The sequence below is a fragment of the Homo sapiens genome, chromosome 4 (genome assembly GCF_000001405.40).
Source record: "Homo sapiens chromosome 4, GRCh38.p14 Primary Assembly".
Lineage (NCBI taxonomy): Eukaryota > Metazoa > Chordata > Mammalia > Primates > Hominidae > Homo > Homo sapiens.
The window spans coordinates 138,275,378-138,294,741 of record NC_000004.12 but is presented as its reverse complement, the minus strand read 5'-3'; the positions used below and the strand labels follow the sequence as shown (position 1 = coordinate 138,294,741).

General features: G+C 34.8%; 1 long non-coding RNA gene across 1 annotated transcript in view; it reads left to right on the top strand.

Annotated features, from left to right (window-relative positions):
* The window catches only part of LINC00498 (long intergenic non-protein coding RNA 498), a 35,573-nt gene extending 17,946 nt beyond the window's left edge, over positions 1–17,627 (top strand). Inside the window, exons 4-7 of the long non-coding RNA NR_198994.1 lie at positions 7,930–8,049; positions 8,618–8,702; positions 12,923–13,003; positions 17,269–17,627. This is a non-coding gene — a long non-coding RNA (long intergenic non-protein coding RNA 498). The remainder of the gene's footprint in view (positions 1–7,929; positions 8,050–8,617; positions 8,703–12,922; positions 13,004–17,268) is intronic.
* The last annotated feature ends 1,737 nt before the right edge of the window (positions 17,628–19,364 follow it).

The window sequence follows — 19,364 nt, the reverse complement described above, 5'->3', positions numbered from 1 at the left end:
CCAAATGCCCTCTGATAACTTCAATATTAATTCAGCGCAAAAATTCTAGTAGCTCTCTCTTTTTTTTAATCTATAAAAATGGGAAAGTAATACCTACTTTGTAGAATTGTTTTGGGACAGTGGCCAGTGCAAGCACAGCTCCTGGAACATAGAGAGTGCTCCAGTAATCGTGATTATTCTTATCTCATAGAGATGTTTATTATCCAATTCAGAAGTTCAAGTCAGTGAGAAGCAAAAATTCCCAGTGATTACTGTGGGCTACATGTATAGGTGACCTGCCTTTAAATTATGGAGTCTCAAGCTATAGATTGGTGTATAATTTTCACTTGTAAAATAATAATTTCTTTGCTAATATAAAAATAAATTTAATATTTATAACATTCTGTTGATTTAGCTATATACTTTCTCCACCTTGGTAAAGTTTTGGTCATAGAGCTTTTTGTTCTCTTACAGTTTGCATTCTTCGGGGAATAAAATTGTAAATGGCTTTCCTTTGGTGCTATAATAACCCTTTTTTCTTTATATAGAACGATACAATTATATAGATTCCATAACAGGATTATGCAGAAATCTTGTTTACTGTATTTAAACAGAAGAATTTTTTGGTACTAATTCTGGTTATGGCTGTGATTTTGCCATTAAGTAATGCTGAAGCTATCAGAGAACATTCGAGTTGCTTCTGACCCTGTTAAGATTCATTAACTGAGCTATCACTACATGTGGGTATCACTTTAGGTGCTCAAGATTTAGTGGTGAATAAAATAGCTAATAATCCTGCTTTTATGACAATAGAATTTAAAAAAGCATATATATATGTCTGTATGTATAAAATTTTAAAAGTATATGTGTGTGTGTGTGTGTGTGTATGTTGGTAGTAAGTGCTGTGGAGAAATGATAAGAGAAATATGAAATGTGGATGGAGGAAACAAGCATAATTTGCTCTTTCACATTGGAAGGACTCACTAACAGTGTGATACTTAAGAAAAGGCATAGGGCAAGTGAGAGAATAAACCACCCTGATGTCAGAGAGAACATTCCAGACAGAGAAAATAGTAGATGCAAGCACCCTGAGGTGGGAGAATAATCCAAGTATTTAAGGAACAGCAAAGAAATGAATACATATTAGAGCAGACTTTCAGATATGGATATTTAGCATTCATGACCAAACTAAAATTGAGTTAAATTAAATATATTCATTGTTTAAAAGTAATTCATAGTTAAAAGGAAAACTGAAATAGAGATATATTATCCACAATTACTTTTATCTTCAATGCCGTCATTTATTTCTATAAATAAATAACAAAATAAATGTATTGAAATATATTTGAGTTCCTGGTGAGCAGGCATTCTCATTGCTTATGCTTAGCAAAACAATTTTGCTTTAAGTTGCTACTAATATTTGATTCAAGAGTCTTAAGCTTGGCTGGGCGCGGTGGCTCACGCCTGTAATCCCAGGACTTTGGGAGGCCAAGTTGGGCGACTCATGAGGTCAGGAGTTTGAGACCAGCCTGGCCAACATAGTGAAACTCCGTCTCTACTAAAAAAAAAAAAAAAAAAAAAAAAAAAAATTAGCTGGGTGTGGTGGCAGTCACCTGTTATCCCAGCTACAGGAGGCTGAGGCAGGAGAATCGTTTGAACCCAGGAGGCGGAGGTTGCAGTGAGCTGAGATCGTGCCACTGCACTCCAGCCCAGGCAACAGTGCAAGACTCTGTCTCAAAAAAAGAGTCTTAAGCTTTATAAAGGCTTTTTCTCCCTATAGAACATACACTAAGTGTATATTCCATTTATCTAATATTGTTGGCTGTAGTCTTCTCCTGATACAGTGCATAGATTGACTTGACATACCAGATTAACTGAGATCAAGTTAATTATTAATATGAGAAATGATTGTATAAAAATCATTATGTTCCTAAGATATGTGTTCTTTAATATTTATAAAAATTATAAACGTAAACTGTGATATTCATGACCTATTTCTTTCTATATTTGGACTCAATTCAATGCTTTAAAATATTTTTGTTTAAAAAACTTTATAATTTTGTCTCAAAACATCCACGTATAAAAAGTATAATAAACTTAAACATTTTGTCCTTTATCCTCAATTCAGTGTTCACAGAGGCCTGTGTTTTCATTGCAGCAGGCAGTCAAATTTCAACAGCGAGGCAATATTGTTTTGTACCTGTGATATTTGTAGGAAGACATCTTCAGATGGGTTATGCCTGCTGGGAGCTCAGCTGTCTTCCCTGTAAATTTCAGACACCCCAAGGGGTGTCTTCTTTGTGGATGATAATCACTGTATTTGGATTGGAACAATGTGGCCTTCTTTAGTGCCTGCATGCACACCCATGTGTGTGTATGCGTGTGTGTGTGTGTGTAATTTAATTTTAAATTTAGGTCAATAGTTTGGTTTAGGGAAAGAACACTCTCTGTGTCCCTGGAAATACTGAAAAGCAAATATTTTCAAATGACATTGGGTTGATTGGGCTAGGTTAAAATTAGGTCAATTTATTTTTTAATCCCAAATATTACTTTAAAGATAATTAATACTTTCTCATTAATAGAGTTGCAAGTGTTTTCTAGATCATTTCTAAAAATGAAGACATAGGTTTATGAATTTTGACAAAGAGAAACAGTTGCCTAAAAGTAAACATTTTTCAACAAAATAGTTATTTTTACATCTTTCAAAAATGTAAACATTCTACCATGATATATTTTTGTATGTGCTGGGTAAATATATAGGCCCTCAGGGGGAATGAAAGGCCCTGATTTGTAGCATTCTCTGCTTTCTGTTTTGTGCATACTCCCACTATGGCCAATTACAAATGACCAACAATGTAATACCTGGCTCACAAAATTCCTGAACATTTATTAATAGGCTCTAGTGAGTCCACAAGAGCAGGCTCCAGCACCCCTAGAAAGTAGTTATCCTCTTTCTCTGGGAAAATGGCAATACAGGGCCTACTGGTAACTTTTAGAACTGTCTGAATTATCTTCTTTCAACTTATTACTTTTCTGATCTTAGTCGGTTTTCATTAATCTAGCAAGGACAGGGCAGTATCCTTTTGACTGTATGGGAACTGCAAGAAGTAATGGAACAGCTGTGACCTTTGGATTGCCTAATAACTTGCTAAATTAATGGCACCTGGTGTAAGTGCACAGTAGACATAATCTCGATCTCACTCTTTCCCCTAGTTCTTTTCTTGACTTCCACGGAACTTCCTTTCTCTCTAGATCTAAGCTTACAGCATAAACTAAAATTTGGGGGCATAAATGCAATATGTTCTCAAGTTTAATATGCCCTCATTTGCAAAATATACCTTTGATTTTATAGTGGTTTTCATGGAAAGCAAACTACAGTTATGAAATACATTCTTTTTCCAGAACCAGAAGTGTGTGTGTGTGTGTGTGTGTGTGTGTGTGTATGAAAACTAAGAGTGTACAATGTGTAATAAGGAAACCAGGTGATGATATATGAGCAATTTTGAAAGCTTTGGGATAGTGTCAGCACACCTATCCTAGGATTGTGCTCTTTCAATGGGAGAAGGGGGAGGGATAGATTTTTTCTCCCTCTTAATAGTTTCAAATAATCGGCACCCTTAAGTCACAACATTTGTAGGTAGCGAGTGGACTCCAAACTTCTATGCTGCCTACTATAAGAAAAGGAGCTTTGCAACAATTTTTATGTCTTCTTAACTGTCTTTGAAAGTGTACTGTTACCAAGCAACAAGAAAAAAACAAATAACTGTTAAAAAGTGGGCAAAGGACATGAACAAACACTTCTCAAAAGAAGGCATACAGGTTGCCAACAAAATGAAAAACAGCTCAACATCACTAATCATTAGGGAAATGCAAGTTAAAACCACAATGAAATACCATTTCACACCAATCAGAATGGCTATTATTAAAAAGTCAAAAAATAAAGACATTGACAACAATGACTAGAAAAGGGAACGCTTATACACTGTTGGTAGGAATGTAAAATAGTTCAACCCCTTTGGAAAACAGTTCTTTGAGTGATTTCTCAAAGAACTAAAAACAGAACTACCATTTGACCCAGCAATCTGACTGCTAGACATCCACCTAAAAGAAAATGATTTTTTGTTATCTAAAAGACACTTACACTCATATGTTTATCAAAGCACTATTCACAATAGCAAAGTTATGGAGTCAACCTATGCACCCATCAATGGTGGATTGGATAAAGAAAATGTGGTACATATACACCACGGAGTACTTAAAAAAGAATGAAATCATGTCCTTTGCAATAACATGGCTGGACTGGAGGCCATTATCCTAAGTGAAATAACACAGAAAATCAAATACCACATGTTCTCACTTATAAGTGGAAGCTAAATAGTGGGTACACATGGTCATAAAGATGGAAATAATAGTCAATGGGAACTCCAAAAGGGGGAGTGAATTGAAATAGGGGGATGATAGTTGAAAAACTACCTATTGTGTACTAGGTTCACTATCTGGGTGATGGCCTCACTAGAAGCCCAAACCCTACCCATGCAACAAATCTGCACATGTACCCACTGAATCTATAATACGGTTTTAAAAAGGTATTGTTACACTCTCAGTTGGAACTGCTTAATACATCTGATACCTGAAATTAGGACAGATGAATGACAATACTGAAACCAACTTCATTATATAATCACATGACGATGTGACAGAAATTGACATTATTATTTTTAAGGTAAAACAGCAAATGAAAAATTTACATTGAAAGAAATCTTTATTTCCCTTTCTCTTTTGTATTTTTGTGTGGCATTTCTTAAATTCCAAGATTTCTCACTTTAAGAAAAAACTCCATCTTTATCTCCAGCCACCTCTCTATGTTTATACATCTACATATTATTGAACTATTATCTATGTCTCATCTATGAATCTGTATGTCTATCTATCTATATCTATCTATCTATCTGTCATCCATCCATCCATCTACCATAGTATTCAAAGTAAGTGCAAGAACATGACTGTAGATTGGAAATCTGAAGCATGAAAATAATATTTACTGTTACATGTGCTTTCAATATCATCTTGGCCATTGATAACATAATAAAAACGTGTTTATTCAGTACTCTTTTTTCTTTTTCTTTTTTTTTTTTTTTTTTTGCTATGTCTTTTTCCTAGCCTAGAGCCTTATTTTAGCCATTCTCTAAGTTTTCTACTTATTGAGCAGAATGAGAAGTGTATTTGATATATATAGTATCTGGTATTATGAGAATTCATTTAAAGCAAAACAAAGTGAGAAATAGGTTGCATTAAAATACTTTTATTGACAAATTTCTAATTTATGAAGGCAAGAGAGCAATTTTGCATGGTGAGCACATTGTTAATTAATTCAGTAAACATGCCAGACCTCAAGTTAGAAAGACCAATAGGAGTAGGAAATTTCCTCTAGAATTTTAACGGGTTGTGGGAAATACAGTAAAAGTATAGATATTAGTCTTTCACCCAGACCAAGGATATCAGAATCCCATGAGGTTGAACATGGGCATATGCTTTTAATAAACCTAAAAAAAATCTGTTTTTAGTGATTTTTATTGTATTGCTATGTTTAGAAATTTCTGGCCCATATTGTGTGTGATCCACAGAATAAATCAAATTTACATTAGGGACACCTTTTTTCTCTTTACCTAACAGGCAAATATATTCTCCTCTTAAAAACATTTGTTTTCCTAGCTTGAGGTTTTGCTACAGAAAAGTCCTATCTAACTTCTCCTCTCCAACATTCACACTTCCCAAACTTCTCCAGTCTTAACTCTAGAGTCACTATTTTAGCTGGGGACACCCAACTAGACAAAAGTAGTTTAGCCCTCAGTCAATTCTATATTGCTTCTATGGTGAAGCTAAGATCATCTCTTCTTTCTGATTTTGAAATTCTTTTTCTGCTTAATTTAATGAGCCCCTACTCTATAATGCACTAAGCTTGGTACAGGAGGAATATAAAGATAAATATGACATGTGCTTGTATCCCACTGAAGGAGATTGATGTGATGTAAGTAAGCATAATGTAAAACAAAAATCAGGTTTATGATAATAAGCTGAAAGTTTCCAAGTCTCCAAGTATTCTTTTATGTCCAATAAAATAATTCAAGTCTCCATCTCACACAATCTGAGGAGTCCAGTGCCATTTCTGGTGTTTATGATGATTCCTGCCTGGTGGTGCTTACAATCACCTAGTACGCGCATTTTTCACTCCGCAGTCAGTCCTGGATCACTTATCACCACTGCTGCCTGTCTCTTCCTGGTTCTCAGGGCTTTATCCCAAGTGTGGACATGTCTCCTTTTCCGAAAGAAGCACAAATATGAGGCTATTGTGTTGGGTAGCAGGCTTTAGAGACAATGGAGGTTCATTATAGTGTGGACACCAACTACACTTGGGTACCAAGTTATTTTGAAATTCCTCACTTAGGTCAGACTGCATATGGAAATTACTCACTCATGATGTATTTCTTTTGGTTCCAGACCCCCCAACATACTGCCAGAGTTCATCGTCACACTAACCAAAATCCACTTCCATCTCCATTTCCCAAGTTTTAGAAATAACTTCCCAAGTCACCAGGTAGAATCCAAAGTTAAATATACTTAGTTGTGCAGAATAAATTTGCTCCTTTCAATTTCAACCTCTTTTTTCCACACCATCCTGGGAGCAATTCTGGGTACAAGCAATAGACTCTGATAAATATTTTTACAAGCCAAACCACATTTTCTCAGTATCAATTGTAACAGTAGCCATTTTTATTTCTTTGCCCATTTCATTACAGAGACATAAACTAATTGCCCTAGGAATGTGTACTTTTTGGAATGCGTCCTACAACATATAACAATGGTCGGGGAGGGAGTGGGGGAGAGACATTCTTTTTGAGGTCAAGGACTATCTTTCTTTACTATATTCCTAAATACTAATATAGTTCCCAATACAAAATTGTCATTTATTATGTTTATAGAATGAATAGATAATTGAATGTTAAAAATATGCATCTGGCTTTTTTAGCCATGGCATATGAATGCCAAATCATTTGAGAAGTCTGGGAGACATGGAACACCTGTGTGGGCTGAGACAGGATATGTGGTTTTGTGTGATTGTCCACTTAAGCAGGCAATTAATTTTTCACATAATCAGTTATTGAATTGGCCATTCACATAATGTTAATGCATTTGAATTTGCAATTAATCTCTATTTTATTTAGAGCATTTTATATCTATCTTCCAATTCTGATGTAACAGTACATGGACTTGACTTTTTAAGTGGATTTACCACTAAGCACACATGTGCACACACACACACACATTCACACAAAGGACTGGGGAAATTAGAGAAGTAAAGTCAGACATTTTGGCTTTTCAGAAGACATTTTCTAATGATTAGATAGATCTAATTTCACAGAACTTTTTTAAAAAACATGGAATATTTAAATTTTGAACTTTCTTTTCTAGATCAAGTGTTGCCAAACTTTTTCTGTAAGGGGTCAGATAGTACATATTATAGGCTTTGTGGATCATACGTTCTCTGTCTCAACTGCTCAGTATACAAATTTGTGGACATGGCTCAGGAAAGCCTATCGTAAGCATGGCTTCACAATCGAGTGTTTAGTGACGTGTATTTGGTAGCTTGCAATCAGCCACGGTGAGAGTATTTACACAACAGAAATCAGCAAATGCTACAAATAGGAGGTGTTATTTTACTTCCCTCCAGAGAGCAAGTCCTTAAGCATTTATCAGCACAGCTCTGCAGCATAGCTTTGTATCATACCATTGGACGACATAATTTAAAATTTTGGCCAATTTAAAAAATAGTGTATTTAAACATATTTTCCATTTGGTTGATTCCAAGTGGGGTTAAATTGTTTTATCTTAACCAGCTGCTTTATTTTAATTTAATTAATTAATTAATTAATTAATTAATTAATTTTTGAGGCAGGGTTTTGCTCTGTCGCCCCCGCTGGAGCGCAGTGGCACAAACAGAGTACATTGCTGTCTATCTTCTGGACTCAAGTGATCTTCCCTCCTCAGCCTTCTGAGTAGCTGGGACTACAGGTATGTACCACTACACCTAGATAATTTTTTTTAAAATTGTTTGTAGAGACGAGGTCTCCCTTTGTTGCCCAGGTGTTGGTCTTGAACTTCTGGGCTCAAGGTATCCTCCTGCCTTGGCCTTCCAAAGTGCTGGAATTACAAGCGTGAGCTACTGCACTCGGCCATTTTTATTTATTTTTAAATAGGCTGTCTATGTTCATGCCTGTTTGTCATCAAGAAAGTCTTTGTGTTTTATGAGTAACTGTCCTCATCTCTTTATTGTCCTACCTTTACTATAGTTATTTCTATAAATTTATAATCTACCAAACATCTGTAACCATACACATTAGGAGGATTCAAACGTACACGACTCCATAATGCCTAGCATCATGCTAAATATATAACAAATACTCAATAAATACTTTAAAATTAGGTGATAATATGTATTAAATCTTGGCTCATTCTTGCTCTTGCTTGCATTAATATTTCTTTTATTATAATATGTTTTTAAGAAAATAGGAGCTGAACATCAAATAATTACATTTTGTTTCACAGTTTAATAGTCTGAAAAATTTGATTATTTTCACAGATGCAGATAGAAATATTAGTTTTATGAGAAACTATTTCTTAAAGGATGAAACATTCCACAAAATATATTTTATCACAGACTATGGGTGAGTACTAAAGTTTTTTGATATTTGATTTATTAAAATCTAGTGACATTTATTCATATAAGAGTAAAAGAATAAGGATATACCTGAAGCAAACAAAACACTACTACTTTTTAAAATCAAATCAAAATGTACGGTAAATGCAATTATGTATATGCATGTTATGAGTAGGATAGGCACAGAGCTGATGGAGAAAAGAGTGTGGGTTGGGAAGAAATTACCCAAAAGACAGATTATTGGGCATGTGTAGAATGAGAATTTCCAGTCTCACTTGACAATGGTGCTTTTAGACTCAATGCACTTTTTTAGCATCAGCTTGTGTAGCCAAAACCTCACTTGGAGCTTTAACCAGGGATTGTAAGTGGAAGAACAGATTAAATTAGAGTCTACCCAGACCTACAGGATAAGTCAAATGCTTGATGCACATACTTGGAAATTGATCCTAAGAAAAGATATTCTTATGTGAGTCCAACTTTAGGTGGAAAACCATGACACTAATACTTGAAAGTAAAATAGCAGAGAGATCTGTGAATGTTGGGACAACTACAGATGGAAGAGGTGAGGATGAAAGGGGTTTAGGGCAGAAATAAGCCACTGAGCTCTCAATGGAATGTCCAAAAGGGAATTCTTTTAAGGTCTAGGAGCACCTCCTAAAGTGCCATAACCATCACTCAGCAATAGTAACTCAACATGCCTTTCCTAGATTATGCCTTGACTAAGGAAATTTTCCCTTGGTTTATTACTCTCACGAATTCTGATGACATTTCACTCTAAACTCATGATTACTCAGTCATTTTTTCTTCTCTGGTTCCTACTTCTGTAGACAGACCACTTACACTTACCTTGAAGTCCTGTTCCTCCGCTACTCCCTATCGTGGTCTCTTTCCTGTTTAGTCAATACCCACGTGTACCAAACACTACAGACAGATCCTCCTTTTTAATTCCACTTTAGTTTTTATATTTCCTTAAAATATAAAAATGTTTTTCATAGAAACTCTATAATGTTTATCCTGTCTAGTAATAGTCTATGCCTGAATGTAGTAAAGATTTGTTTGTGTACATGTCCCAATAGCCTTATCTATTACCATTCTACATCTCTTCAATCTTCATTTTAAGTAAAAACACATCCAGCAGATATTGCCTCAACCTTGAGGCATTCTAGGAATAAGACTACTTTTTATGGCTCAGTTTCATTCAAGAATTGTTACTGAGCACCATATTGTATAAGGTCCTGGGGATTTAAATAAGATATTGCTCCTACATATGGAGTGCTTACATGCACTAGAAGAATAAAGAAATAAACAATTTTAATATGATGTGATAAACCCATTGACAGAGGTTCAACTGGCTGTCTAAGCACTTGCTCATTCACTGATTTATTTATATGAAAAAACTTATAGTGGTGTACATTTAAATTTTATTTTCTTGCAAGTTATCTTTCTTTAAAAGAATAAGATTACATAAAAGTTACATTTTTGGTGTATTTATCCATCATTATTTTAAAACAGATATTTTCAAATTGTCAAAACAAATATGATAATTTAGTTACCAAGCACGAACAAGAAATTTTTGTGACTCAAAGAACTGTGGAGGCTAATCAAAAATGCTAAGGATATAAGGAAAACACTATCATTCTATGAAACCAATTACAAATAAATTTGATTTTTCAAAAATAATTTGGTACATGTATAACCAGAGAAATGGTACAGAGAATAGAAACTATCCCTCCAATTCTCCCAGTAAAATGTGTAGAGAAACAATAGCATGTGGATAAACTTTTGTTTTAAACAAAGGAGTGACCTCTATAAGTCTCTTATTATTATGGGTGGTATCCTACCTATGAGTGATTTATAAAGTGGAATTTGTTTGTTTCTCCGAATTCTTTTGAGGATCGATTTGCCTCTAAAAAGTAAATTTTTAAAGAATGCAGAGATATATAGATTCTTATAACTTTTCTCTTGGCATTTTCAACATTAATTTATTATTGAGGATGATAGGTATTGTTTTTCATACACTTGATTGAAGAAACGCCTTTTCAGACCTCTCTCGGCAAGTGTCAGAGTAATTCATGTCTTACATAATCAACAGTTATTTACAGTTTCAATTATAAATGATTAAGTATCCTGTTCCCAAGAGTTTGTTAAACAGTGAAATGACCTCTCGATTTTAGCATTCACACCCAATAATGTGAAGATAATTTTATGCATTTACTTATATTTGGCATGCTGATGTTTTCTTGTGAAAATTATCAAATAGTTTCAACTCTTTGTGACTGCACATACTTTCTTCAAGCCTCATTAAAATATGATTTAAGGTCACAGATATCATCACAAAGATTATTACCCAACAATGATACTATATCAAGCAAGCAATCAGGATTCGAGTTAATCAGATAGTTTAACATGAACACCTCTTGTTACTTGCTGCCTTATATCCAAACTAGAGTAAATATTGTGACTAGAAGTATTTTCCTGCATGTATTACCATTTAAAAGAGGGTCATGATTCTGAAAAAGTGAAGACATTCACATGTAGCTTTTATTATTCACATATTCTATCTGACTATTTTGGAAATCAGAAAAAATGGAAAGCAGAAGATAAATTGTATATGCACCATCATAGTTTCTTTTTTCTAAAGTAAGGTGTTTTAGACCATTTTATAAAATCATGAAAGTCCTAAATTATAGAAATTATAGAAAGACTAGAAAATTAGAAAAATCCAGTCTTATTAATAATTAAATATTTCTCTATTTTATTTTTTGAGATGAAATTTTGCTCTTGTTGCCCAGGCTGGAGTGCAATGGTGTGATCTTGGCTGACTGCAACCTCCACCTCCCAGGTTCAAGCGATTCTCCTGCCTCAGTCTCCTAAGTAGCTGGGATTACAGGCATGCGCCACCACACCTGGCTAATTTTGTATTTTTAGTAGAGATGGGGTATCTGTATTTCACCATGTTAGTTAGCCAGGCTGATTTCAAACTCCTGACCTCAGGTGATCCACCTGCCTCGGCCTCCCAAAGTGCTGGCATTACAGGTGTGAACCACCACGCCCAGCCAATAATCAAATATTTCAAATATGAATCTTAAAATGTAATTGTTGATTTAAGAATGAAAAAATTTTTTTGTTTCTTGAATTAATAATTTTTCTCCCACTAACACATAATAATTATTTTCATTTTGTTTTTAAACTTTTATGTAAAATATAACATATATACAATAAAGTAAACAAAAAATATGTGAATTATTACAAAGTAAATATGCCTAGGTATCCAGTGCTGAGACTAAGAAATAGATCATTATCAACACTCTGAAGACTGCCTCATGATCCACCAAATCAGTATTCCTTCCCTCTGTCCAAGATATAACCACTGTTCTGACTTCTCAAATTGCAATATAATTTTGTCTGTGTTTGCATTTTATGTTAACATAATCATATAGTACTCTTTGTGTTTGGCTTCCTTGCCTCAATATTACATGTAGGAGATTAACCCACGTTGTTCTGATGTACCCGGAGGCCATTCATTTTCACTGTTTTATAGTATCCCAATATATGACTGAAACAATCAGTGAAAATTCTAGGCCATTATCTCTTCAAGTATTACTTCTGCCCTGTTATCTCCCTTTTCTCCAATTACACATATAATAGACCCTTTTACCTCTTTACTATATCCTGTATGTCTTCTATACTCTTTTCTATATGTTTTATTCATTTGTCCCTCCATGCTTTAGGTTGCTTATTTTCTTCTCACTTATCTTCTAGTTTACCAATTTGTTCTTTAGTCGTGTCTAATTTGCTGTTGAATCTATCCATTGAGTTTTCTTTTTTGACTAGTATACCTTTTAGTTAGAATTCCTAAATTTTTTTGTAGTGTCTAGTTTTCTGACAAAATTCTTAATCCTGTCATTTTTTTTTTTTTTTTTTTTTGAGCTTAGGCAGCATATTTCTTTTGAATTCTCTTTTTCTTATCTGGATTCACTGAGGATCTGTTTCTGCTATTTATTGCTTATTTTGTTAATTTATCAAAAGTGATCAAGTGAATTTATCACTTCATGTGTTTATTTCTCTGTAATTGAGTGTTGTATATTAGCTTTTAAGATTAGTAGAAATAGTTTGAGGCTTAAGATACAATTATCTTTATTCAGAGAAGATTTGCCTTGGCATCTAGTAGGCAGATAAAAATTCTAGCAATCTTAGATCATTTAAATACATTTATTTCATTTTTAGGTGGATTCCACTGGGAGAAAAGAGGATCTAAATGCCAGGCTCACCCCTCACATTCTATTCAACTGCACAGGATAGAATGATGTAAGTGCTTCAGAATGATGCGATTGCTGTGAATCCAAAATCTCTCATATAATGTTGGTCAAACGTATAACTGTCTTAGCCACTCTAGGTTTTCTCCTTCTCCTCTAGATCTTTGCCCTAAAATTCATGACTGCTTTGCTAGCTCTTTGAGATCTTCAACAGATTAAAAGAAAAATTGTTTAGCCCCAAATTTTCTGGCTCTTCTTAAGAGTTAATACAAGTTACCTGATATGCTTTTACTGAAATCAGAATCTGTATTTTTGTAACAGTAATGTCTATAAATGAGGCAGAATTTTATATTATAAATTTATAACACACAGATGTTTAATAACAAGGAAACACTAATAGATTGATATTAAAAACTATTAAAGTAAACGTTGACAATGTTTTGGAAAAGGCTGTTTTTCCATTTATCTGTATACTTTGAGGTACTGTAGAATAACAATTAAGAAGTTGGGCTCTGGATCATATTTTCTGGATTCAAATCTTACACCTGCAACTCACTAGTTTTTGTGACCTCAAGCATGTAATTTAACTTATTTAGACTTCACTTTCTTCATTTGTGAAATGGCGATAATAAATGTTTTTACTTCAAGGTTTGCTTGGGTGATAAATCAAATAATTAATTAAAAGCACTTACAATGATTCCTGCATTTATCCAACATGATAAAGCGTTAAATATTATTATTACAGTCTGTAATGTATTATTATTATACATCAAAAATTAGTAGATAATTTTGTAATGTATTGTTATATTGACTTCTTTCTATAATTATTATTTAATTAGTAAACAGATCGTGGTTATTGAACGGAGAAAATGATCATTCAATGATAATATCCAATTGAATGGGATGGGAACGTGTATTAGTTTTTGGAATTGTGGCATATTCATATCTCATATAATGCCATTCAAATTTGTAAATTACTCTCTAAGCCACTTGATTCAAGTCAGTGTACTTGGCAACTGGGTGGTTTCTATGTCTTCCGTATAGCCAAACTAATAAGTGATGATCCTGAGGAACTTCTTGTCAATTTACTTGTAAATCTTACTTATTTCTAATAGCGAGGGTTTACTTGTGAGATTTATCTTCTATGCATAGAATATAATACAATTTACACTAACTTGAATTTTTCACATGTTAAATTGCAGATGATATTATCCTTGCCTGCTAATTTACTTGGGTCCTAGACTAGTAACCTATCTCAGACTCATGTCTCTGAGACCAGTGTATTGTTTATCTTCTCATCTGATCACTGGTTACTTTTGCAGCAAGATTATTGAGTTAGCTAAGGCATGGCTCCTTAGGCAACAACACAAGCATGATTTAGAGGTCATCATTTCTAAAAACGACTGTGTACGTGCAAAGAAGGAAATGTCAAGTCCCCCAAATTTCTCTCTTGCCAGAAATAAATAGATAAAAACCTTCATTCCATTCTATTTATTTAATTTAGTAATGAAAATATTGTGCTTATATACCACTTACACTCTCCAGAGTTCTTAGAAATCTTGTTTATGCTAACTTTGGGGACAAAAGAAGAACAATGGGAAGTGTACACGAAACTAGTCGATATTAAATGCATTATTGCTATTCTTAAATTAATGCATCTTTGTTTCACTTTCCTAATTTGCAAAATAGAGAGAGAATGACGTTTGCTTCAAGTTACTTTCTAGCTCCAAACTTTAATAATTTAAAAACCTCCATTCTTGAAGGCTAAATTCTACTTAGCATCAAGAAATTGACAGTTATAGTTATCTAGATAGTTCTTCTCACTATTAACTATATCATATTTAATAATTATCAATGAGAGTAACCACCATTTTCTCAAAAATGAGTTTTACAAGCTATTCTTTGCTAACTAAGAAAATTATAAGTACACAGGATACCACTTAACACCTGTTTTGAGGGATGATCTTGCAATTTCATGGAAAGCAACAAGCTTTTGCACTGGAGCTTTTCTTTGCACTGGTACTTTTCAAATGTGGGGTCATGGGAGAGGAATCTCTGCTCCATCAGTTTTCTTGGCACATCAAGAAAAGTGTGTCTTTCTTACCATTTGTTACTTCCTGGGCCTTTGGACCACAGAGCTCCATGTCCACTGACATACATGTTGTTTTCCCCCAAGATTTCAAATGCTATTCTTTCTGTAGGTCTTAGAAATTCATTTTGCTTTCTTTCCTCTATAAAATTGCCATGACTCACTGTGTACCTAGAGAATCCCTCCTTCACAACTCTGTCTAATAAGTGGAATGCAATCATTCTTCAGAGTAATCATTTATTTATTCACTCATTTATTTTCCTGTTCAACTTACAACTTACCTCTTTAAATTCTTTTGAGTGACTTGCTCTCTCACTATACTCTAGTTAAACTGACTTCTGTTCGGTACTTCAGACATGCCATGATTTTTTTCACCTTGAAATGATCGCATGCACTGTCCCGTCAGTCTGGACTGCTCTTCTCTTCTGCCTTCCGCTGTTCAAGGCTGGCTCCTTCTCATCTTAAATGCTGCATTCTCAGAGGGGGCTTCTTTAAGCATCTTATGCAGCTGAGTTTATCTCTTTGCCTGCCACAAGTTGGGCTTTCTGTATATTTTTAACTTTCTGGTAGAATCCTATCAGTTCATGAGCAGAAGACCTACCAAGTTGGTATCGAATACTTAAGCACTCATTCAAGGAAACAGGGTCAGTCTGTCTGATTTACTCCCAAGCCTCTGAAGTCATCACATGAACAATGTTCCAAGAAGTCATCATCTGTTCCCTTAAAGCCCTGGCAGGGATCTTCGTGATTGTACATAGTTTGGTCTTTTCTCTCTTTCTCTCTTCAGTGACTTTGACCTCTCTATCCTTCTTTTCCAAAATCAACTTCATTAGCTTTAGGAGAATGGTAGATGTCTTAATCAGCTTGTGCTTCCCTAACAAAATACTACAGACAGGGTGGCTTAAACAACAGACATTTTTTTCTCATAGTTCTGTAGGCTAGAAAGTCCAAGATCAAGGTGCTGGCAGATTTGGTCCTTGTATAGGGCCCTCTTCCTGGCTTGCAGATGGCTGCCTTCTTACTATGTCCTCATGCAATTAAAACAGGAAACTTTGGTGTCTCTTTCTCTTCTTATGAGGACACTAATATCACAGTGCTCCATCCTCATGACCTCATCTAATTCTGATTACCTCCCAAAGGCCTCAGCTTTTAATGCCATTACATTGGACATTAAGACTTCAACATATGAATTTTGGGGAGACACAAACTGTATTAGTCCATTTTGTGCTGCTAGAACAGAATACATTTATAATGAACAGAAATGTATTGGCTCACAGTTCCAAAGGTTGAGAAGTCCCAGATCAAGAGGCTAGAATCTTGAAAAGGCCTTCTTGCTGCATCATGTCATGGTAGATGGTGAGAAGGTAAGAAAGGATGAGAGAGAATGAGAGAGAGAGAGAAGGGGACCAAAATCCCCTTTTTATAACATATCCACTCTTGCAATAACAACATTAATTCATTCATGAGGACACCACCGTTATGGCCTAATTACCTCTCAGTAGGCCTCACCTCATTGTTGCATTGGGGATTAAGTTTCCAACACACTTTTGGAAGATATATTCAAACCATAGCACAGACATTTAGTTTATAACAGTAGGCTTCCTTTGTTATTCCTGCAGCTTGTGCCTGCCTTCAAAGATGTTAACTATGGCCTCAACAACAACTTTTGTCAGTTGAACCTGGTTACCATTTCTGCTATCTTTAATCGCTTTTTGGACATCGTTTTAGAGCAAAGTTTATAACCATGACATATATGTGGAGAATTTATTTTCCTTTCCTTCTGATATATCTTTAAACATTTTATTCCTACAGCTCTCTCATGATATTTCTTATATCTTTTCATGTAGAGGCATTTTTGGCACATTGCAGTCCCTAGGACAGAGAGGAAAAGGTGCTTTCTTTTTCATATCAGCTATCAGTCTTCTAAGCATCTCAATGACCTATTCTAATCAAGGCTGAAAAGTGTCTCCCTGGGACAGGTCCAGAATTCCCTGTATTTTTGTGCCTTCTGAGTTTCCCCAAGTAGCTGGATAGCATACATTGTTCTGCCCATTCTATTAGATGAGCCTGCTTCTTTTATGGCATGCCCAAACACTTTAGGGAGGGATGTCAGAATGTAAGACTTCGGCCACTTTTATACATTTTTTTCTCCTTATTTCTATAGGTAGAGGCTCAATTTTTTAAAGAAAAATCAGTTTCTGAGTTTGTGTTTAAATGTCACTTTCTAGACATCCCTCTCTCACAAGAGCTCCCTGGAAACTGCAGAGGAATCACCATCTTCAGCAAGCTTTATCAAGAATGCATTCATGAGATTCCCACTTTAAACATCCAGCCAAGCACTTTTATGTCTGTCACAGAGGCTTTAAAGGAGAGGCTGGAGAGTTCTCATTTTCAGCACCATCTCAGCTGTCGGTATTTCCCAAACCTGCACTGATGTCTGAGAATCCACATCAAAACTTTTGCATTTGTCCTCAAAGAATGTCACAACTATTATTCTGAAATGCTCATTGCATCTATTTCTAGGGATGGTAATGATGACTCTGTACGGACTAAGATAGGATTAATAACAATGCAGAGTTGAACTCAATTATCAAGCTCTGGATATTTAATTGTCTTATTGAGAAAATCTGAAATTGGAGGGGCATAAAAACATGAAACTCTTTTACTTTTTTTCTCCTTGTCACCCTTTAATGAGATTTATGGGAGACTTAAAACTTTCCTGTCACTTTTGTATTGAAAAAAGTCCAGTCTGGCCTAGATTAGTTTAGAATTTCAGTTTCATTTTTTATCTAAAACTCCTTTTTTTTTTTTTTTTTTTTTTTTTAAGATGGAGTCTTGCTCTGTCACCTAGGCTGCAGTACAGTGGTGCAATCATGGCTCACTGCAGCCTCAACCTCCTGGGCTCAAGCAGTCTTCCTGCTTCAGCCTCCCAAGTAGCTGGAACTACAGGCATTTGCCATCATAACCAGCTAATTTGTTTTTTTGTAGAGATGGTGTCTTGCTATATTCCCCATGCTTGTCTGAAACTCCTGGTCTTAAGCAATTTTCCCACCTCAGCCTCCCAAAGTGCTGGGACTACAGGCATGAGCCACCATGCCTAGCCTCTTGTCTAAAACTCTTATCCTTCCCTCACTGATCAGCCTTGAATTGTATGTGGAGGTAAAGATGTTCCTAGATTTATCAAAATAACAAAACAAAAACAAAAATAAAAATTGCCCATTTAAATTTGAATTTCAGATAAACAACATTTTTTTTAGTATAAGTATACTCCAAATAGTGCCTGTAGCATACTTTAAATTTTTTTGTTTGAGTATCTGAAATTCAAATTTAATGGGTCATCTTGTATTTCCTTTGGTAACATATTCTATTATTATAGCCTCTGGATCCTCTGGGGTCTTTGGTGGGTGGTGGTGAAAATAAATGTGTATCTTTTGTGTAACTGAGCACAAGATTATAAACAATTCCTTCTTCATTGTTTCTCAGGGTTCTGCTGTGTTGCCCTGAGTCACCGATTTGCTACAAATATTTGAGCCTCAGGCTTCTGTTGGCCTGGAAACTTAAATACTTGATGAATCAGAGGAAACTTCAGGATAACTGGGTCCAGGATTTCTGGGACAGTCTCTTTTCTTACGTGAAAACATTCAGAGATGTTCTTTAAAATAATATTGGCCAATATTGTTAAGAAAACTACACATTTGCATGTTAATATTAATTTTATTTTTAATCACGTGATGAATAATTAAATCTTGAAATCACTTTTGGACTACTGACAATTTTATTATCAAAACACTTGAATGAGCTGATGGTGCTTGTAATTTTAAATGAAGCCAGCACCTGAAGGCCTCAGATAAAATCTGTATTTCTTCACTCTGTCAAATGATGGGTAGTATACCAAAGTCACAAAGACATTTTTCTGAGTCCAGAAATAAGATATTCTTCATCACATTGATTTCTGGTGCTGCTTATTTTGCACTTTTGAACTTGTAATTTAAATAGTTATCACATGTACAGATACATACAGAGGTATGCTATATATATAAAATGCATATAAAATATTCCTATTTTTTGAGGCATTTTAACAAACACAAACAAAGACCAAGACAATATCATCTCTCTACCAACAGTGAATGGGCTTTCCCTGTAACCGGACATACTGGTGTTCAGATATTTAAAATAGGGTTTAATGTTAGATTGTTAATACTTCAACTGGGATTTGAAATACAGATGCATATGAGATGGATTCCTTATGACCTGCCTACCAGGTTGAGCTCAGATGGTTTTTTGGTTATTGTTGTTGTTGCCATGGGAAGGGTACAATGGTAGG